The 23483-nt window shown below is 42.8% G+C and overlaps 1 long non-coding RNA gene across 1 annotated transcript, besides 2 other annotated features; it reads left to right on the forward strand.

Annotated features, from left to right (window-relative positions):
• The first annotated feature begins 533 nt into the window (after positions 1-533).
• Positions 534-23152, forward strand: PCAT5 (prostate cancer associated transcript 5). Its single transcript, NR_110138.1, has 3 exons — positions 534-747; positions 18838-19281; positions 20261-23152. It is a non-coding gene; the product is annotated as a prostate cancer associated transcript 5 (long non-coding RNA).
• Positions 5576-7595: an enhancer, noted in NCBI's record as "VISTA enhancer hs1589". NCBI's record gives its function as "enhancer in: cranial nerve[4/8]" and the evidence as "EXISTENCE:transgenic organism evidence [ECO:0001131][PMID:17130149]".
• Positions 17388-18587: an enhancer, noted in NCBI's record as "BRD4-independent group 4 enhancer chr10:36084084-36085283 (GRCh37/hg19 assembly coordinates)". NCBI's record gives its function as "activates an origin of replication core promoter dependent on BRD2, P300/CBP, MED14 and CDK7 cofactors, and independent of BRD4, by STARR-seq in HCT116 cells {active_cell/tissue: HCT116}" and the evidence as "EXISTENCE:reporter gene assay evidence [ECO:0000049][PMID:35650434]".
• Positions 23153-23483: the final 331 nt, after the last annotated feature.

Raw genomic sequence — 23483 nt, forward strand, 5'->3', positions numbered from 1 at the left:
AAAATATGCACAACACAGAAGATATGCCCTTAGCTGACTTGGGAACTCTATGCAGCTCCGAAAGTGAAGTATAGTGTGCATGTAGTGCCACCCATTGTGATTTATGTTGGAAATAGAGGAGTAGGGAAATGCATTTGCTATGCCTCCCTAGAGGCTTCAGAGTCATTCTGTGGGTGGAGGAGCAGCTTCTGGAGATAATAGAATTGTCCTCCAGCTGCTCACACTTCACACAGTCTGTGGCCAGATGTAAAAGCCTGGAGAACTTGTTTCCAGGATCAGAGACAAGGAGATGCAAGAGGCCCCTGTAAGCAGAGCAATGAACAATGGTATAACCCAGTTTGTGAAGGAAGATGCCTCTGAAGAAAGAGTGGAGGTCAACTTAAAAATCAGCAGAATGCAACGTACTCTCATTCCCCCACTGGTTACCTTCACTGTGGCCAGTGTATAAGCTGGGCTGTTTGTTCCTGGTAAATGTCCCTGATTCCGTCCTGAAGCTTTGGCCCAATCAGGAGCCCGAGCTGTGCGCTTCTTATCTCCTGAGGCTGCAGCAAGATCAGGGAAGCAAACCTTTGCAAATGAGACATGTACCGTGTAAAATGGAAATGCTTTCCTTGGCAGTGAGTTAAGCATTTTCACGATAACAATTTGGAATCCTAGAAAAATAACTGGATTTTGAAATGGAAAATGAGCTCTGCACTTTGCTACTTTTGTGACCCCACATCCTCATCTCCAAATGCGGATGTTACAGTAAGTTGCCGGAGTTCGCAGCTGCCTGGCCAGGGCTGTCTTCCTGTCTGTGGTTGCCACAGTGCACTGAACATTGGCCTCTCGTTTTAAAACAGTTCTTTCTGTCCTAAGGCCAATTATAGTACTATGTTTAACCTAAACATTAGGATTTATATCATAGTATGACAGCTGTGGTCAACATTCTTTATTTCAACAACTTCTCGATTTCATTAACTTTATTTCTTTCAACAACTTTCCATTTAGCTATGTTGTTGGAAAAATGTATGGAATACCTATGGAAGTTATAGGACAAGAAATGTGTACTTGGAAAGATAATTTTTGTCTCCTAAGAGACTCCCCCCAGTGTGGAGGGTTGTGTGGTATACCTTATTTAGCTGTGTGAGGTTGGTGTTTTTGAAGGGCTCTCAATAAATGTCATTCTCAACTTTGCTGGGGATATAAAGAATTTGAAAATTTAAACTAAGAGAGACAGATAGGGTTAAAATATCAAGTTAAAAAGAGCAAAGTTGGAGAATGTGGCTTTAGGGCTGACAGCCAAGTGTGCTTGTGAATACCGAGCCTAGAGGCAGGTCCCCCTCCACTCCCAGGCAGCGCAGCACTGGCCTTCCCCACCAAGCTTAATCATTTCTAGCTTTTGATTTAAAGTGAGACAAGTGCAACTCTTCCTTTTACTTGAACACTTAGAGGCCAATATAAGGTTCTTCATTGGCCCAATTTCAATATTGTTTTGTCTCAGGGATCAGGGAGGCCATGCGGGAGGGTGGGTGTGCTGGTTTGCTACAGGTCCATAATCAAGTACCACAAATTAGATGGCTTGAAGCAATAGGAATTTGTTATCTCATAGTTCTGGAGGCTAGAAGTATAAGATCAAGGTGTTGGTAGGGTCTTCCTCCCTCCAAAACCCATAAGAGGGAGTCCTTCCTTCCTTATCTCTTCCTAGGTTTTGGTGGAGCTGTCAATCCTTGGCTTGTGGCTGCATCACTTAGATCTCCACTTCAGCTCTTTCATGGCCTTCTCTCTGTTTATCTTGGTCTGTGTCCAATTTCTTTTTTCTTCTTCTCCTTCTCCTTCTTCTTTTTTGAGATGGAGTCTTGCTCTGTTGCCCAGGCTGGAGTGTAGTGGTATGATCTCGGCTCACTGCAACTTCTACCTCCTAGGTTCAAGTGATTCTCCTGCCTCAGCCTCCTGAGTAGCTGGGATTACAGGCATGCATCACCATGCCTGGTTAATTTTTCTATTTTTAGTAGCGATGGGGTTTCACCACGTTGGCCATGCTGGTCTCGAACTCCTGACCTCCAGTGATCCGTCCACCTCAGCATCTCAAAGTGCTGGGATTACAGGTGTGAGCCACCATGGCTGGCCAAATTTTCTTCTTATAACAACACCATTCATGTTGGATTTAGAGCCCGCACTTATGACTTCATCTTAACAATTTCATCTACAAAGACTCCATTTACAAATAAGGTCACATTTTGAGGTCCTGGTGTGTCTGGAGTTTGTTCCTTCTGGTGGGTTCGTGGTCTCACTTCAGGAATGAAGCCACGGACCTTCGCAGTGAGTGTTACAGCTCTTAAAGGTGATGTGGACCCAAAGAGTGAGCAACAAAGAGATTTATTGTGGAGAGCAAAAGAACAAAGATTCCACAGCATGGAAGGGGACCCAAGCTGGTTACCACTGCTGGCTGCGGTGACAAGCTTTTATTCCCTTATTTGTCCCCATGCACGTCCTGCTGATTGGTCCATTTTACACAGTGCTGCTGATCGGTCCATTTTACAGAGCACTGATTGGTCCATTTTACAAACGTCTAGCTAGCCACAGAATGCTGATTGGTGCATTTTACAATCCTAACTACAGAGTACTGATGCATTTTACAATCCTCTTGTAAGACAGAAAAGTTCTCCAAGTCCCCACTTGACCCAGGAAGTCCAGCTGGCTTCACTTCTCACTGGGGTTTGGACTTCAATATGTCTTTTAGGTGGAGGGCTGGGACACAATTCATCCCACAACCGTGAGACTTAGTGCAACTCACAGCACTGGTCACAGAGAACACTGGCTCTCTGAGCACAGGTTTTTCCCTAAGACAAAGAGCCATGCATATGGAGTCATTTACTTCAAAGATCGGAGGAGAACTCAATGAAATTGAGAAAAAAGAACAATACAAGTGAGGAACAAAATGAAACAGATGAAGAAAATTGATGGATTCCTAGCTTGACTATGAAAAGAAAAGGTCCAAATAAACATAATCAGAAATTCAAAAGGAGACATTACAAATGATACCACAGAAATACAACAGATCATCAGAGACTACTAGAAACAACAATATGCCCACAAACTAGAAAACATAGAGGAAATGGATAAATTCCTGGAAACATACAACTTCCCAACATTAAACCAGGAAGAAATAGAAATCCTGAAGAGACCAGTAACAAATAGTGAGCTTGAATCAATAAAAAGTCTCCCAGCAACAACAAAAAGCCCAAGAGCAGATGAGTTTACAGCCAAATTCTACCAAACATACAAAGAAGAGCTGGTACCAATCCTCCTGAAACTCTACCTCAGATTTAACCATCAGTTAAGTGTATCACCTTTCCTAGGAACAAAGTGATCAAAGACTTACAGAGAAATGAGGAATGTCAGCCAGTGGAGGTCCACCTTCTGCAGTGAAAATCAGGAAGAAAGAGGAATCGTGCTCCCTGCTATGAGCTGAAAGTTTATGTCCTCCCAAAATTAATACATTGAAACCTAGTCTCCCATGCAATGGTATTTAAGAGGTGCAGCCTTTGGGAGGGGATTAGGTCACAAGGGTTCCACTCTCCTGAATGGGATCAATGCCTTTATAAGAGAAGCTTTAGGAAACCTGTTTGCCCCTTCTGTCATGTGAGCACATAGCAAGTAGGTGCCATCTATGAAGCAGAGAACCCTCATCAAACACGGAATCTGCTGGTGCCTTGATCTTGGACTTCCCAACCTCCAGAACTGTGAACAATACATTTCTGTTATGTATTATCCAGTCTAAGGTATTTAGTTATAGCAGCTGGAATGGACTAAGACACCTCCCATTATTCCATTTTAGTATCCATTGAATATTCAGTTTAACACATTAATGGTAGCTTGTTTTCAGGGCATTGCCTTTGTCATAAACTTTAGAAGTATAGTTTCTTTTTTGTGGGGATGCTTTGCATTTTGCTTGCAACTCACATTCCTAGAGAAAAGAGAACAGTATTTCCCCAGCTATCCCGGCACATGTTTTGGACAAACTTCTCAACCTCCTGTTTCTAGTATTGGAAGTCCTCCAGGGAACGCCCTCTGGTGGGCGTCTCATTCTGACTTCGACCTGGGCTCCATCTTACAACATCTTAATTCTATGCAGAACCACCTTGATCAGATTCCTCTATAACACTACTTAATAGTTTTCCATTCGAGTTCTCCTCATAAGCATTAAAAAACCAATCTCTCTGGAATTGTTCTGAACTTCTAATCCTCTAAGCCTCCTTTCTATGGTTAGAGAATATGAGAATCTGTTTTGGGGAGGCTTGGGGTGGCTGCTTCCTACAAAATTAACAAGTCTGATGAAGATGGTGGTGAGAATCATTATTCTATTATAGTTCAGTTGGCATCAGTGAAGGCAGGGGCCATGAATCCACTGCAAGGGGCTCATGAAATATGCTTGGCTGCTTCAGATTTTTCTTTGGAGCTCACAACTTGTAAGTGTCCTCCTGGGTTAATGATAGGAGATTCTTCATCTGTCCTGGGAGAAGAAAGATTGAGTTGGGGACAGTGATTTGGATTTTTAATTCTTTGGCTTGAAGTCAAATTTTGGTGCAAATACATTACATGAAAGAGGTAATGCTATGAAAAATTATCTATTATTAGCTAGACGTGAATTTGTTTCTAAAATGAGACCCATGGACTCTGGAGCTGGGAGAAAGAACCAGACAACTGGTAAGCATGGGTCCTGCCAGGTGGGGCAGACTTGTGGAAGTCCCTGTTCATTGGGAGGAAGCATTAGGAGAGCTCTGAGAGATGAAGAGGGAGTGACAAAAGGAAGGAGAGCAAAAAAAGAGAGGCAGAAGAAACACCAAAACCAAATGTTTCCTCTTTAAAAATGTTTGCTTCGGTCAGGCACTGTGACTTATGCCTGTAATCCCCGCACTTTGGAAGGCTGAGGAGAGAGGATCACTTGAGGCCAGGAGTTTGAGACCAGCCCGGGCAACATAGCGAGACCCCTGTCTATAAAAAAACTTAGAAAAATTATCCAGGCCGGGTGCGGTGGCTCACACCTGTAATCCCAGCACTTTGGGAGGCCGAGACTGGCAGATCACAAGGTCAGGAGATTGAGACCACCCTGGCTAACACGGTGAAACCCTGTTTCTACTAAAAATACAAAAAAAAAAAAAAAAAAAAAAAAGAGCTGGGCATGGTAGCGGGTGCCTGTAGTCCCAGCTACTCGGGAGGCTGAGGCAGGAGAATGGTGTAAGTCCAGGAGGTGGAGCTTGCAGTGAGCCGAGATCATGCCATTGCACTCCAGCCTGGGCAACAGAGAGAGACTCCATCTCAAAAAAAAAAAAAAATTATCCAGGTGTGGTGGCACATACCTGTAGTCCTAGCTACTCAGGAAGCTGAGGTGGGAGGATCACTTGAGCCTAGGAGGTTGAGGCTGCAGTGAGCCATGATCATGCCACTGCACTCCAACCTGAGTGACAGAGCAAGACACTGTCTCAAAAAAAAAAAAAAAAAAAAAAAAAAAGCATGCTTGAACAAACCCTGTGAGAAAAGATTACACTCTCTTAACTGGGTCAGTATTTGTACGAATGAAGAATTCTTCTGTGTTTGCAGAAAGGGGAGACAAAGAAAGTCAGCCTTTGTTTTAACTTACTGTGATGCCAATCAGGTGAGGTGGAACTCAGGCTGTCAAGGCAGACTGATTTTTATTTGCAGGGGTGTTTCATTTTGCACAATATGATAGTGCAAATACTCATTGCACAATAGTTCGCATAATGTTCTCAATAAAAATAATTTTTAATTGCTTTAGGAGACATTCAAATAAATGTTACGGTGAGTGGAGTTTTGATGAATCACACACTCTTTTGTCATTGCATTGCAGTTAAGTGAATAATCACTTTCCTGCTTCTGCTCCACAAATCTTGATGGCCTGAGGTCTGGTGTGCTGAGTGAGTCCCACCTGCATGGACCCCTATTGTGCATGGTAAACGTGCTGTGCACAGTCAGCCGAAGTTCTAGTTCGGCAGGTCAGAGTCATGTGAAACAACTCTCGAGTTTCTCATACAATCAGAGCTAACTGCTGCCTGATGAAACAGGCAAATGCAGTGGGAGGAATACATCATAATTCCCCTTCCAAATCTGTCTGAATAAACATTTGCACAACGGCTGATCAAGGCTCTGTGTGTTAACTATCACGTCCAGTGCTGACAATTTATACAACTTCTTCGTGAAGATTCTCCTGGTGAACCTTTCATTTTTGCAGTTCATGCTATGACATTACTAGGAAGTACTGTTTGTGTTTGCAAAATACAGCTACATGCTTGCATCCATTCATGTTTATTTATATAGATGCTCTTAGCACCAGGCTAACAGCAGGTTTGACAGAAGGATAGGAACTTTTCTGCTGAAGACATACCACAGATGCCATGACTTGAAAGAACCCCATTGTTTCTTTCTTTGCCTGAACATAGCCAAGCAAGAAGGTTTTTTGGGAAAACAGTAACATGAAGAACATGGATAAAGTTAATCTACAACCTGAGACCATTACAGCCAGGAAATGGAGGTGAATTTTAAATCTTGTTGGCAGTTATTCTGTCTTTATACCTGTAATTACTTCCCTTCCTTCCCATCCTTTCTTCCCCGACCGCCCCCCCGCCCACAAAGATGGTGCCAGTGGGAGTAGAGTTGGGAACAAGGTTTAATATTGTGATTTTAAATTATTATCCTTAAAGTCACTTTGCTACCAGGTTTCCTTGGGTGTTGAATTCACATCACTTTTGTTTAAAAACGTTGGTTTTCTTTTTGTTATTTTTTCCGTCTATTGCTCCTTTGTTCTTCTGGGTGTATTTAAATCTGGAAATCTTCCTCTCAAAGGGGCTAACATTATGAAGAGTGGGAAGACTTCCACAATGAGCAAACCCTGAACTCTACCAAATCACAAATCTCATTCCCAGGTGATTAGTGATTTGGTGGAGCTCAGTGTTCATTATAAAGTTATTCATAAGCAATCATGATCATTTCCAGAGAAAAAGACAATGATTAATTTCATGGCCCCATATGTAATCGTGACTACTTTCAGGCATTTAACAATGATCAATTACCCATTCTCTGTTAATTAAGAGCTTAATCTTCCCACTCATGTAATGTGAACAATGGTGCACTGTTCCAAGCTGCCTATTATATTTCCTCAGGACAAAGACCAAAGTGATTGGTCATGGAACGCTCAGGGCTGTCACACTGGATTTCCTGCCTCTCCAGCCGAACACAGTAGGCACAGTTCAGTATTAACAGACTCATGTTTTCTATGAGCTAGGATGATGTCCTTGCCCCGTAAAGCCAACGTTGAACACATTTTATCTTTTAGCCTCAACATCATCACTCTTTTTTATATTTTTACAAATATGCATAGTGAATAAGAGAAGAATAAGGGAGGGAAGAGAAGAAGAATAATGTTCCCAACACAAAGAACAGATAAATGTTTGAGGTGATGGAAATCCCAGTTACTCTGATTTAATCATCACACATTATATACAGGTATCAAAATAGCACGTGTACTCCTAATATGCACACAACTATTAGGTATCAATTAAAAAGAGAAGAAATGTCTCAAATACCAAGTTTCTTGCTACCTAGGTTAATGCTTCATTTCCCTGCTGCCTTCTCCAAAAACAGCATCTCATCACCTGTATTCTTTCCTGTGTTGAGCCTCTGGGTTGCGGGGGACCCACCATGGTCTCTGCATGGCCACTTCCACAGAGGCTGTCACTTTGCTCCCCTCCTCTTCCAGAATCCCTGCATTTGAATGGCACGTTAGACTGACTAGTCACTGTTATAGTCATCTACAACCCCAGGGCCCTTCCGCTGCTCGCTGTTGGTTTTTGCAATATGACCATTGCCTTAACTCTTGGTGACTTAAATACCCACATACTGTACATAAGCTGGTCTCTCTATTCCCTGACCTATTCTCCAAAGATCTTATTCTAGACACCACTTCAGTCCCCCATTCCACAGTCACACTGGAATAGCTACAAAGTCTATATTTCCATTGCAAACATCCTGGGCTCCAGCTGCAGCCTCCTTCCCCTGTCACTCACTTCCTTCACTGCCCTGTCCGCAATGATGCTTTGACCTGCCTCCACCCCTTAACTGTGTCCAGAAAAAACCACATGCCCAGGCTTACTGCTCTAAGTCTCTTTCATCACCCTGCGCTTCCAGGGGGACTTGAGTGCACGTGGCAGCCAGGCTCCATCTCTATGGTCCACTCAGTGCTCCTGGCCCTTGCCCATGACTCACTGTCCTTTCTGCCCTCTTGCACCTTCTTCACTCAGTTGATGATCTTCCTTCCTTCCATCTAACAGAGAAAGCAAAGGTGATCAGAACAGAACTTCCACCTGCTCTCCTCATTTTGTCTGCCCACCTATCTGAAATCTAGGTGGAGGTTCCCAAATCTCAATTCTTGACTCCCTGCACCTGAACGCTCAACACCAAGTGCAAGCTGCCAAGACTTAAGGCTTGCGCCTTCTGAAGCCGTGGCCCGAGCTCTATGCTGGCCCTTTTCAGCTAGAGCTGGAGCAGCTGGGACACAGAGTACCAAGTCCCTAGGCTGCACACAGCATGGGGACCCTGGGCTCAACCTATGAAACCACTTTTTCCTCCTAGGCCTCAGGGCCTGTGATGGGAGTGGCTGCCATGGGGACCTCTGAGATGCCCTGGAGACATTTTCTCCCTTTGTCTTGGGGATTAACATTTGGCTTCTCATTGCTTATAAAAATTTTTGCAGTTTTCTTGAACGTCTCAGAAAATGAGATTTTCTTTTCCATTGCATTGTCAGGCTACAAATTTGCTGCACTTTTATGCTCTGTTTCCCTTTTAAAACTGAATGCCTTTAACAGCACCCAAGTCACCTCTTGAATGCTTTGCTGCATAGATATTTCTTTCACCAAATACCCTACATCATCTCTCTCAAGTTCAAAGTTCCACAAATCTCTAGGCAGGGGCAAAATGTTGCCAGTCTCTTTGCTAAAACATAACAGGGGTCACCCTTATACCAGTTCCCAATGAGTTCCTCATCTCCATCTGAGACCACCTGAAACTGAATTTTATTATCCATATCATTATCAGCATTTTGGTCAAAGCCATTCAACAAGTCTCTAGGGAGTTCCAAACTTTCCCACATTTTCCCATCTTCTTCTGAGCCCTCCAAATTGTTCCAACCTTTGCCTGTTACCCAGTTCCAAAGTCACTTCCACATTTTCGGGTATCTTTCCAGCAGTGCCCCACTCTACTGATACCAATTTACTGTATTAGTCTGTTTTCATGCTGCTGATAAATCCAAACCTGAGACTGGCCAATTTACAAAAGAAAGAGATTTAATTGGATTTACAGTTCCACGTGCCTGGGAAAACCTCACAATCATTGTGGAAGGCAAGGAAGAGCAAGTCACATCTTACATGAATGGAAGCAGGCAAAGAGAGAGAGAGCTTGTGCAGGGAAACTCTGCCTTATAAAGCCATCAGATCTCATGAGACTTATTCACTATCATGAGAACAGCACAAAAAAGACCTGCTCCCATCATTCAGTTACCTCCAACTGGGTTTCTCCCACAACATGTGGAATTCAAGATGAGATTTGGGTGGGGACACAATCAAACCATACCAGTCATCATGATGGGATGCCGTCTTCCTTTCTGTTTTCACCCCTTCTAATGCACCTTGCACACTACCGTCAACCTTTATAGAGTGCACATGAGTATGGCTTGATTTAGTCTGTTTGGGCAGCTATGACAAATACCATAAATTGAGTAGCTAATAAACAACAGATATTTGTTCCTCATAGTTCTGGAGTCTGGGAAGTCCAAGATCAAGGTACTGGTAGATTCAGTGTTTGGTGAGGCCACCTTCCTCATAGACAGCACCTTTTGTGTCCTCACGTGGTGGAAGAGGCTAACTAGTTCTCTTTGATAATGGCACTTACTCCATTCATGAAGGTTTTGTCCTCATGACCGAGTCACCTCCCAGTGGGCCCACTCCCTATACAAAAACATGAATGATTAGGTTTCCATATATGGATTTGGAAGGGAACACAAGCATTCAGATCATAGCACTATTCCCTTGTCTACAATCCAGCAACCTGTCTTAGGTAACTTCATCCCTTTGGATAAATATTCAGTCTGTTCAAAATCTAGGTGCTGACATGTATATGCTTGAGTCTTAAAGGTGAAAGGCTCCTACAAATAGTTTTGGGGACTCCTATGCAATCCTTTCTATTCAATTTCCTCATTGCAAATAGACCCTCCAAGAGAAAGAGGAGGTAGACTATGCTTGTTAAAGTATGCAGCAATCTAAATATAGTAGTCCCCTCTTATCTGCAGGGGGTATGTTTCAAGAACCCAGTGGATGCCTGAAACCCTGGATAATATAGAACCTTATATATATACAGTTGCCCTTAGTATCTGCAGGGGATTGCTTCCAGCATCTCCAGCAGATACCAAAACCTACAGGTGTTCAAAAGTTCCTTATATAAAATAGTTTAGTATTTGCATATAATCTACACCTCCTGTATACTTTCAATCTTCTCTAGATTACTTATTGATATGGTTTGGTTGTGTTCCTACCCAAATCTCATCTTGAACTGTTGCTCCCATAATTCCCACATGTTGTGGGAGGGACATGGTAGGAGATAGTTGAATCATGAGGGTGATTTCCCCTATACTGTTCTCATGGTAGTGAATAAGTCCCATGAGATCTGATTGTTTTATAAGAGGAAACCCTCTTCGCTTGGCTCTCATCCTGTCTTGTTTGCCGCCATGTAAGATGTGCCTTTTGCCGTCTGCCATGATTGTGAAGCCTCCCAGCCACGTGGAACTGTGAGTCCATTAAACCTCTTCTTCTTTATGAATTACCCAGTCTCAGGTATGTCTTTATCAGCAGTGTGAAAACAGACTAAATACACTTATAATACCTAATATGATGTAAATACTATGTACATAGTTATTATATTATATTAGCTTTTATTTGTATTATTTTTATTGTTGTATGGTTATTTTTATTTTTTTTTATATTTTTGATCCAAGGTTGGTTGAATTTGCATATGTGGAACCCATGGGCATGAAGGGCTGGCCGTCCTATGTTCTTTTCCTTTATATACAGAGCTATGAAAAAGTTTTATTTATAAATTAAGCACAGGAAGAAATTAAAAACAATAACTAGTAATAAAATAGAACAATTATAACAATATACTGTAATAAAAGTTATGAGAATATGGAAAAAATGTTGTCTTTTAACTCTCCCAGGTAGGGTCTGGGTGGATGAGAGGGAGCTCCTCTTGGCAGAAGCTGGAGGTGTTAAGATACACACGTTTGCAGCCCCTTTGCTGCCTCTGCTGGGGTGCTGCTCATCATGTCTCATCCCCTGGTCCCATCTGGCTGAGATGTCCCGCTGCTGCTTGCCTCTGGATAATTGGTGTCTTGGCCAATTGTTTTTTTGAAATAGAAGGAAAGACATGATATAGTGGTCCAGATGCAGATAGGTGGGCAGACAAGTGAGGAGAGCATGTGAAAGTTCTCTTCTGATCACCTTCGCTTTCTCAGTTAAATAGAAAGCAAGATCATCATGCAATGATTAATCCAGGGAAATCTCCCCTCCCTGTTCAGGGTTAAGGCCAAATCTCTGTCATCGCATGCCGTGCCCTGCATAGGTGGCCTTGCCCACCTCACTTCTTGCTGCTTCTCTGTAATGCACTGCACGGGAGACTTTGGAGCACACCTTTCAGTCCCCAAGCGTATACCCTGGCTCCAGCCTTCTGTGCCTGCCCTTATGTGGCTCCTTCTGTTGGGCTTACCCCACTCTTGTCTGCCAAGTGATCTCCTACCCATACCTCAGGGCCAATCCAGTGGGTTACCTCTGGGGGCAAGTTTCCATGAATACCCTGGATGGAGCTAGCTATTTTCCCTTTGGTCCCTGATATAGTTTGAATGTCTATCCCCTCCAAATCTCATGTTGAAATGTGATCCCCAGTGTTGGAAGTGGGGCCTGGTGGGAAGTGTTGGGTCATGGAATTGAATCCTTCCTGAATGGCTTGGTGCATTTCCCATGGTAATGAGCGAGTTCTTGCTCTGTTCACTTAGGAGTTGGTTGTTTAAAGGAGACTGGCACCTCATCTCTCTCTTGCTTTCTCTCTCTTGCTCCTGTTCTCAACATGTGACATGCTGGCTACCTTCCCTTCCACCATAACTGAAAGCTTTCTGAGGCCTTACCAGAAGCCAAGCCGATGCCGACGTCTGGTTATGCTTGTATAGCCTGCAGAACCGTGAGCCAAATAATCTTTTCTTTATAAATTTCCCAGTCTCGGGTGTTCCTTTATAGCAATGCAAAACTGACAAACACAGGTCCCTTATAGTACCTCATCCACATGCCTCTGTGACCACGTATACAATGATTTATTTGAGACATTTATTTATGTGTCTTACTCACCCTCTCCCCGAGGATAGGGACCTGTCCTGACTCATGAAACCACCAGTGTCTAGCAGAATGTCCTGCACATAGTAAATGTTCAATGCTTGTTTGTTTGAAGGCCAAAATGAATGAATGGACAGGATTTTTGCCTTTATCTAGGTGTTCAGCTAGTCACTGATTGTAGAGATACAAAATGGAGCAATTTTTAAAAAGTGAATAGTAAACAAAGAGAACATGTAATAACAGCAACTTAATTAACATTTTAAAGTTAAGTTGCTGACTAATTTCACTCCCAAGATTTAGAAATGCTGTATAAGTCTAAGTCATCACTTTCTCCCTCTCATTTTCAAAGTAGAACTTCCAAATCAAATGATGCTGACCATTTAAAAAAAATTTATTTTCAGAAATAGTAGAATATATAGAATGCTTAATCAGGAGGGCTCAATAATCGCTGAAAATAATATCAAAGATTCCAATAGCAATGTTTTGCAACACATTACTAAATAATCAAAAAGCAAGAAGCCATCATTTAGACATTGGGATGTGCAGATCAACTTGGTTGAAAGAATTGGTATCGTCAATTCAGGCAATAGCTGTGACCCAGGAAGGGATTACCAGTTTTGCTGTACTTAAAATTCTGTACTTTGCTTTGCTCTAAGTCCACATTTCTCTTGTGCCACTAGATGCTTGTTCTAACTCAGTTTCATGTTGGGTTGTTGCTGTGCTGGGAAGATGAGCTTTCAGAGACTCAGTTCATAGCAGACAGTGGACTTTGGTTAAATATGAAGAATGCCTCTCTCTCTAAACTATAATAAAGCCCTTTTACATCACATTCATCCTGATATTACCTTATTTGCTTTATTGACTACAGAGTACTTATACATACGCTCACGTCTTATAAAAATTGTATCTAGCAGAGCTATAAATAATTAAACTTTTCCTAGCTGGGACTTGCCTGTATAAAGATGTTACAAATTCAAAGTCATAACAGGGAGGGTAGAACAGTGATTTATCACTAACAACTCTCAGCTTCTGGCTTTGTGTTTCTACTCATCTGTCTCATTGCTGAGTCCTGTGGTAATTTGTGTCTGTAGAGCCCCATGGCGGGAGAAAGAGAGACACAAGAAACCAGAGGAACAATCTCAGTGGTGGTTTCTCATAACTGGATCCACGCATGCATAGGTTAGAGTGAGACTTTTCATAACTAACTTCAATTGCTATTTCAGGAAGGTCCCACACAATCTGACGAAATGCATCCACTCTGCATTAGTTTTAGAACGTGCCACAGTGACATGGGCGGGGAAAAAGGGGGCCCTCTCTTAAGAGCCTGGCGCCTGCTTGTAGCAGCAGACACACCTCTTATCTTCCCTGCTTTAAAAAACGTAACCATTCATCATTAGATAAACTCACTTTAAAATGTGAACACAGTCGTTACCAGATCAGCCTCAAACTATTCACTTTTGTGACAGTATTTAACTATGATCTCAGCGCAGGATAAAAGCTTCTGATGAAGTCTTTGTATATTCTCTTATAAATTTGATTACTGATTCATGTAAGCCACTACTCATAAAAGTAGAGATTAATGAATAACAATTGCCTTGAAAATAAAATTGTTACCAGAGAGAGAAAGGTGTGTATTTTCATTTTCCTCGGGTGTAACAAGGGTGCTTGATGCTGCACGTGCGAGACGTGGTACTGAGGTCAGTTCCCCAGCACGGCTGTCATCTCATGGAAGCCAACTTTAAAAGGACTAAAAGCATCCATGGAGATGGGTTCGTGGTAGGAATCCCACGTCACAGATGAGGCTGGTAGGTTTTGAGGAGGGTGTTATGCCCACCTACCTGCATCAGGACCAGGATCTGTGTTTCACGTGACCACAAGGCCAGAGGAGCTCTGGAGGGCGGATACTTCAAAGGCACTTATTGTGTGCACAGTACACATGCAGAAGGAGCAAAAACCGCTTGTGGGGAAGAATTTGATCAAAGGAAAGAATGAGAAGAGAAAGGGGGGAGTCAAAAGAGGAGGGTATAGGAACAGGCTTGGAGAAAAGGGAAGATGAACAATTCAAGACAAATGTGAAATACTACATCTCAATTTTGTCCAGAGCCAACCTGTCTAATGGCAACCAGGCATTTTCTGTGGTTGAGTGTGAAATTCCATTTTTGCAATAAGCCCCAGTGTTTTCAAAAAAGAGGCCCGCTACTCCAGGCCTGGGGACACCTACGATGAAGGATGAATGACCCCTCTCGAAGGTGGCCTCTTATGAGCACATTGCTTAAGCCCCACGGACACCAGGACCTGCTGGATGACTCATCCATCCAGGACAGCTGGTTTCTGCATTCTCTGCTTCAAAAACCTCCTGAGATGGAGATGCTAAAATCTCACATCTCACTTCCGTGGTCGAGCTCGTTGAGAGTAATTTTTTCCTGCTTCAATGAACAACTGTTCCCACTTGTTTATTCCTCTGTGAGAGAGAAAGCTGTTCATCAGCATTAAGAAAAACCATCTTATACCTGACATTGTTAAACAGTCATTATGTAACCATATCTCAGCCATTTCAGTCCCTTTGCATATTTCCCTAAAATTGAGAAAATTTATATTAAAGAGATGCAGAGTACGTGGCAGGGAGATAATATTTAAATGCATTTTTGCATCTACTTCTCAACTTAGCCACTTACTGAGCACCTACTATGTGTAATTCAGACTGTTAATGGCAATGTCCTTCTCTGGAATCAGTTGATCACTAATGTGATTTTGCACAAGTTTCTTTTTTTTAATATATTTTTGAGAGAAAGTTTCACTCTTGTCGCCCAGGCTGGAGTACAATGGCATGATCTCGGCTCACTGCAACCCCCACCTCCCCAGGTTCAAGCTTTTCTCCTGCCTCAGTCTCTCCAGTAGCTGGGATTGCAGGTGCCTGCCACCAAGCCTGGCTAATTTTTGTATTTTTAGTAGAGACGGGGTTTCACCATGTTGGCCAGGCTGGTCTTGAACTCCTGACTTCAGCTGATCCACCCACCTTAGCTTCCCAACATGCTGGGATTATAGGAGTGAGCCACAGCGCCCAGCCTTGCACAAGTTTCTTACTCCTTCTAGGTTTTCCCTAAAAGCGAAGTTGTAAAATGGTGATGATGATATTTAAATGATCGTCATAAGAATGGCATCTTTGAAATATGTAGAATGTCAACTACATACTAGATGCTTAATAAATTTTAAATTTTGGCCAGGCACAATGGCTCATGCCTGTAATGCCAGCAGTTTTGGAGGCTGAGGAGGGAGCACTGCTTGAGTACAGGAGCTCAAGACCAGCCTGGGCAACATAGTTAATTTTGAAATTTTCATATGATAATAGCCTTATTTAGAATTAGTGACAAAAGGATAAATTAATTGCTCAATAATTAGGTTTGGAACAATGGGATAATCATATTTTTAAAGTTAGATTATTATCCACAAAATCTCAAATTACTTAATGGCTCCAGGTCTTCCCTAAAAGTGAAGTTGTAAAATGGTGATGATAAAATTTAAACGATTATCACGAGAATGGTATCTTTGAAACGTGTAGAATGTCAACTACATATTAGATGCTTAATCCATTTTAAATTTTGGCCAGGCACGGTGGCTCATGCCTGTAATCCCAGCACTTTTGGAGGCTGATTTCAATGTAAAACACAAAACTATAGGAGTACTAGGAAAATTTTAAGAGAAATATGTTATAGCCTTTGGGTACAATGGGCCTTTCTTAGCATAACATCAAAGCTAGAAATTGTGAGAAAAAATATTCTTATAGGAATAATTGTACAATTGTACAAAGATGGTCGTTCAAAGATGTCAGTTGCCAAATAGTTTTAATGCTAATGACATGTAAAATGCTTAGCATATAGTTTTGCATGATAAAAATCATGCAAAAGCAGCCTACAAAACTGTTCACTCCATATTCTATGCTATTTTAAGAATGTAAATTCAAATACCTACAGCCAGTTGTGATGGCTTACACCTATAGTTCCAGCTACCTGAGAGGCTGAGGTAGGAGGATCACTTGAACCCTGGAGCTGGAGGCTGCAGTAAGCTATGATGGCACTACCATACATCAGCCTGGGTGACAGAGTGAGATCCTGTCTCCGAAAAAAAAACCAGTTAATAAAGAAATTTTAAATTTTAATTTGGGGACTATGCCACGTGTAAAGGCTCACAGAAAAATCATGGTTCAGACCTTGCTCTCCAGGAACATGTTGTCTATAGCGGGAGTCAGGCGATACGGGAGGGATGTGAGAAAGCCTCCAGGGAAACAGACCAGGGATTGGGCTTGTTTGGGGGTGGCCTGGAAAGGTTTGCCTGGGTAAGACCTGTCTGTGAAGGGCAGGGGTACAGGGGAAGGTGACATGAAAGCCATAAGGAGGGAAGCTGCCACAGCTTCAAGAGGTAGCTGTTGAAAGTCTCATCTGGGAAGAAGCTGGCCAGGCGGTGGCCTATTGTGACTGTGCATTCCTCTAAAACCAGACAGTTCCCTGTTGGCCAGCTGAGGCCCAAGCGTGGACAACAGCACAGCTCTCCTCCTCGGAGCCTGGTCTAGGAAGGAAGGCAGTAGGAAGCTAAGTCCGTGGCTGGGGACTCTCAGCCCAGGGTGCAGGGCCCTCGGCTTCTGGTTGGTGCCGCTGCAGGGCTGCGCCTGGGGATGCTATCGAGGTCGTGGGAAGACTCATTTGGAAATAAACTCCTGGTTGGCTGAATGGCTGCTGTTCTCAGATTCGCGTAGATTGGACAGAGGCCCGTCCTGGTGGAGGGAGAGGAGCCTGGCTCCCAGGCTCTTGGTTTCCAGCCTCCTCTTCTGCTATCAAAGCCCCAGCCTGGGCTGGCAGCTTTTCAGGGAGGGTTGTCTATCTGTCGCTATGCAGCAACTCTGATTCCCATGAAGGCAAGTTGCACAGGGACATCCACAGAGTAAAAATCCTTGAGAGACTAAACTGAGATTCAGCGGTGGAAAGCCTAGAACAGCAGCCCCTGACTGGATAGAAAAAAACAACAGATCCCTCAGAGAACAACACCCCTGGCCACATCCCTCCTCCAAGGGCCGAGGCAGGTCAGTTGTGCAAATAAGGACAAGGCCAGTGGCTCCCTGGGCTTGGCTCTGCATCTCAGGGGCCATCAGTGTGTGCGTGACATCCAGCATGAAGAGTGAGTTTGAATGGATCAGTGCCACCGAGACTCCTAATCTGTTTTGGAGAAGGAAATGCAGTTGACATAATTTCTGTCGTGGGCTGTGTGCCCCATGCTCTCACGTTACCATGACTCACCTTGCAGGAAACTGATGTATAGCTGTGGGTTGTGCTGGACTGGGGAACAATACCATTTTGAATGCTGAGACGGGGAAAGAGTTTGCCAGACACATGGACCTTGGGAGTGGTTTCGATGTCTGCCAGGCATCAGGTGGCCTCCCTCAAATCCCAGAGTTTTGTTCACATCACCATGGAGCATCAGCCAAGGCAAACACCACCTTCCTCGCTAAGCGTTTACCGTCCCCGGGTGGTTTCTGCAATAAAATAATAATCATTGCTCTTTCCTGAGAGCTAACTCAAAGCCCTGCGTGTTGCATCATCTTCAATGCCCATTAGACCTAAAAGGCAGGATGATCACCATCATTTTTTAGATGAGGAAACTGAGGTTCAGGGAGCTTTAAGGACTTGTTTGGGTTTGCACAAGTTTGGAAAAAGATTTGAACACAGGTAGGTCTAACAAATCTCTTTTGTTTTTCCCCACCATATTATGCTTTACATAATTCTAAAAGTTTGAGATCTATATGTCTGTTACAGCCTTTGTTTTTTTAGAATTGGAGTTCTCAAGAGGCATTTGGGTCACACAGTGACTGTGCTGGGACTCCTAGCCACCTCTACTGGCTCCCTTCACCCAAAGATATAATCTTCTTGTTACTTTCCAGTCATTTGTACTGAAATCTCATCAGAGATTAAATATTTCCTACCCTATTTCCATACTCTTTATGTTTTTTTCTTTAGAGATAGAGTTTTGCTCTGTCACCCAGGCTGGAGTGCAGTGACCTAATCACAGCCCACTGCAGCCTCAAACTTTCTAGGCTCAAGTGATCCTCCTGCCTCAGCCTCCTGAGTAGCTGGGACTATAGGTGCTTGCCACTACACCCGGCTTATTTTTGTCTTTTTGGTAAAGATGGGGTCTCACTATGTTGCCCAGGCTGGCCTCAATCTCCTAGCCCCAAACGATCCCCTTGCTTTGGCCTCCCGAAGTTCTGGGATTACAGGCATGAGCCATCTCGCCCAGCCTCTATTTTCATATTCTTTAACTGCACATTTCCCTGAGCTAGTCTCAGATTCTGCTGTCTGTTTTTCTTACTGATTGTGCAGATTTTGAATGAAGTCTCTCTCTTCTGCACATTTGCCTTCCCCAGACAGAGCTTGCTGCGGAAGTAAAATTTCAAAATAATCCTCCAACGTGTTTGTGGCCTGAAGGAGCAGAGCAGCGGTGGGAACAATTTAATTCCTAATAAAGTCCATACCTCTAAGTCGCTGCGTGTGTGCCATTGAAACGCAGAGAAGTTGCTAGAACTCCTCCACTCCTGCAGAGCTGTTGCCTCTCTGGGCCTGTGTGACAATGTTTGCTCTCCCTGCTGTCACTTTGCACTTCCCCGAGTCTCTCTGGATGGCACTTCATGATTTCTCCCTGAAGCAATGATGGAAGTATGTCAGCTGTCAAAGGTTCTGGCAGCAGAAGGCAGCTGAGAATAAAGCGGCTTCACGGTAATGTCGGTGACCCCCTAACCATACCCCGCTTTCCACCGATGATTTGTCTGGACAGTGTTTAAAGCAGATGAAATATACATTTTTTGAATCAGGTAACTATTTTCGATAGAAGCTGGATACTTTTATTTTGGATTAAACCTGATAACCTATCATTCTTTAGGAGAAAATATAATAACTTATTCTGGATTGGTGTAATATTTAGATAGAAAGGTGTTTCCCTCTCTTTTCCAAACTAACCTCTCCAAACGTACATTTGTCAAATGCAACTTCCTCCAAATTATAGAATAGATTAACTATGTTAAATAACCTTAACAAGGGCAGAAATGCAGAAGTTCATATGTGTGCACTTTTGTGAATTTCCATCATTGTGTGAAATGTGTGCTTCTTAGGTACTGTACTCCAGTGAGCACTGACGTGGCTTGTGGGTGACTTAAGGTTACAGTCAGAATCATAATGTTGTTATTGGCCTTGATCTTAGTTTCACATTACCAGTGTTTCCCACCACTTGACTTTCTTATTTTAAAAAAGAAAACTAAATCAAAATTATTCACACCAAATTGCCCCATGTACACTTTGAATATTTTTAACATTATCTGAGTAAAGGGATGGAGGGACTGTTTTACTCCTGATAGCCAAGACTGTGCGCCTTAAAGACCAATTTACATTTATAAATGCACAAATGCACAAATCAATTGTTTTATCACACTTTTAGCTAAAAGTCTTAAATGTTTCTAAACTTAGTAAATTTACAAGGATGAAAGTGGCCTTAGACTTTGCACCTCCTCATTTACAGATGAAGAGATGGAGGTCCAAGTGAACCAAGTAGGCTGAGATCAAGTAGCTAATTAGTAGATGAACTAGAACTAGAACTAGAACTAGAACTTGAACACGGATCTCTGCCCCACAAATGAGCTATCTTTCTGCCAACTGCTAAATATATTCAGGTTGTGATCATTTTGGGTGAAATGATGGTTGTTTTCTTGTCTTAATTTGTTTTTATTGTGATTTTAAAATTCAAGGATATCTCAAATTACTGGCCCATTAAATCTTGTATTCTTTTGCTTGTTGAAGGCAACAGGAGATGACCAGTGCTGGGTTTCATGGGAACCAGAGGATTTACAACTTTGCTTGGGCTCCACGTACCAGCAGGAGCCTGATGAGGAGGGCGGCTGTGTTCTGAATTGTTTTAGGAAGTCTCCTTCAGCCCAAGACCGTCTGGACAAAATTGCCATGGGATCCTGTTGCTGCAGCAGGATGTTACCAAGTGAGACGTTGACTCAAAGAAGGGGAGCTGAGATCAGGAAGGCCAAGATGGCATCCAAAAATTCAAACACACCAAGGAGGCCAGGTGCGATGGCTCACGCCTGTAATCCTAGCACTTTGGAAGACCCAGGTGGGTGGATCACCTGAGGTTAGGAGTTTGAGACCAGCCTGGCCAACATGGTGAAACCCCATCTCTACTTAAAAAAAAAAAAAATCAGCTGGGCGTGCTAGAAGGCACCTGTAATCCCAGCTACTTGGAAGTCTGAGGCAGGAGAATTGTTTGAACCCGGGAGGTTGAGGTTGCAGTGAGCCACGCCACTGCACTCTAGCCTGGGCAACAAGAGTGAAATTCAGTCTCAAAAAAAAAAAAAAAAAAAAAAAAACCAAAAAACAAAACCTCCAAAGGACATATGTGTGCTCTTGCTCTCAGGAAGCTTGTGATTCCTGGGGAGAAACTGATCACACACACACCGAGTATTGTAAAGTGATTCAAAGTTGCACAAGGGAGAGGCAAGTTCTGAGTCTCCTCCTGCCTCCCAGTTCCCTTCCTTGAATGCAGGGTCACTGACTGATTGGTCACATCCCAAGACCATGATTGGCTATTTTACAAGTAGACAAGGTCACCATGCTTTAACAGGCAAGGCCCCATGAGCCACCTCTCTTTGTTGGAAGTTGCCTGCGTCTGGCCCTCCTCTCACTTCTTGAGTGTAGGTTTGAGGTCTGGGAATGCTGCTGGTAGCTGTGGTCCATCCCTTTCAAGATTGGGATTTGGAAGATAAAGGAAAGATCCTGTTTGGAGCCTGAGCCTAAGCATAGAGTTCCAGCCTGAGGTTGCAGAGAGGCCCAGCCTTGGGTGTGGGTTCCAAGCCCAGATGGCAATAAAGGAGCACCCTGTCTTCCTACGGGCTGGAGTTCCTTTTGAGAGTGCTTCCTGGGAAATGTTGTCATAACATTGACAGGGCAGAATTTCAGCATTTCTCACCCTTGGCCCTAATATCCATCTCCCAAATCACCCCCAGTGCCAGGAATCATTAAGAAAGCAGTGGTAGTGTTGAGACAACCAAAAGGCTGTTAGTTTGAGAACCGTCACATATAGCAGATGGAATTCTTGAAAAAGTGTCTTCAGCATTAGGTAGAGGCATATTGTTATACATAAAGAAAGGCCGGAGAAAAACACCAAGAACTTTCTGGGGTAACTTCTCTACAGGAGGTTGCTGTGTCCCCCTAGACAGCTCTATCAACAGGTGAGGACTGGGAATCTAGTGGTGAATTGATGTGACTGGGTTGGGGCAGAAATGCCATGGGGCCTGATGCAGCACAGCTGTACGTCATGGAAAATGATCCCTGAGACAGTCAGCAACTGGATGTAGAATGAATCTGTTTAAGTAATGAGTGTTCGCTTTAGGAGAGCAGGATGCAGGACAATAGCCAGGAGAGAGCAAAACCTGTTTGAAAGAGTTGAGGGATTTGTGATGTCCTGCCTGACACACCAGCACCCCTGATGATGCTGTCAATGGCTTTCTCTCAATTAGTCCCCCTGGACAGGTGGAAGCCGAGGTAAGTTGGGTAATTGATGTCTTCATGCTTCCACAAAGGGCCTACTTTGGGAAGATGGAATATGTTAATGCAGGTCCCTGCATGAAGCAGGGAATTCTGAACACATTTGCAGGCCGGTGAAGGAAAGGTCCTTCCCCATGTCATGGTTCCACATGCTCTCCACCATAAACTTGGAAGAATTCAAGCTGACACATCATGTGAAATTCAGGGTGAAAAAAGTCTGTTGAAATGGATAATGGAATGTGGAAGACCTGTGGAACATGTAGTTGGACCTTTAACTCTGTCTGTATCCACACAAAAGCCTGTAATAGAATGTTCAAGCATAACATCCTTGAATTTTTCAAAAATAACTTTACAGCTGATCCATTTATTTTGTCGGTGGGGTGAGGGGACAGAGAGAAGAATGGGAAAGAGAGTGAGAGCAGGGAAAGAGAAGAGTGATGATTGAAGGGGAAGAGAAGGAATTTTCTAACAACTCCTTGCCACAAAATGATGAGTGATGGTGAGTGATTTAATTAGGTCATTAAGTGGATGAAATAACATGGCCAAGGTAAACTTACGTAAACTGTTTCTTATTTAAATTATATTGGATACTTGGATCATCTGTTTAATAAAAAATCTCATCCACTCTTCAATATTGGCTTAAATCCTCTCCCCTGAACAAAACCTTTTCTAAGCACTGCAACTGGGACATTTTTTAGTTCTTTTTACATTTTTTTTCCATATTATTTAGTTGAAACTAATTGCATGGAGCTCTATTCCACGTAGTTACTTCCATGGGTCCATGAGTCTTATTTCTCCCCAAAGACATTTTTCTTAGGGAGGAAGAAACCAAGCTACAAACGTTTTTCTCATGTGCTTCCTACACTGTGTTCTGTGCAGTAGATGCTGCTGAACATTTGCCAGGAGCCTGATATTTGGAAAGTTTGGCTCATTTTCAAGGCTATGCAATTTAATGATACTGACAAACCCCAAAATTTCTAGATCCCAATTAAGTACTTCATTGTCCTGACTTCATTCATCATAATGGAAAATTAACTTACTGTCTAATATCTCATTTTCTTCTCTTTAATATAGATAATAATAAACTAACCCATGCAAATGTATTGAAGAATAATGAATAAATAAAATTTACAAGCAAATGTAAGTATAAAGATGTATCTAAATGCACATAATATTAATGGAGATTGATAAAATAAACCAGCTAGTAATGATGTGGAAGTGATAACATGTACACATCGTTTTGCAAATCAGATTTTTAGTGACTAAATAGAAAATGACTTGGAGAAAATACATGAGACTTTGTGAGTAATTCTGAGGTGGGAGAGAAATTTTTTAAAATTCTGAGGATGTATGATGGGATTCTTTAAGACTTTCTCTCTTAGTCTCCTGAACTCTGTTTATAGTGTACACATTAACTTTGTTTATAAATTTAATGAATCCGTTTTTGATTAAATAAACATGCGTATGGTAA

Source organism: Homo sapiens, chromosome 10, assembly GCF_000001405.40.
Source record: "Homo sapiens chromosome 10, GRCh38.p14 Primary Assembly".
In the NCBI taxonomy this organism is placed as follows: domain Eukaryota; kingdom Metazoa; phylum Chordata; class Mammalia; order Primates; family Hominidae; genus Homo; species Homo sapiens.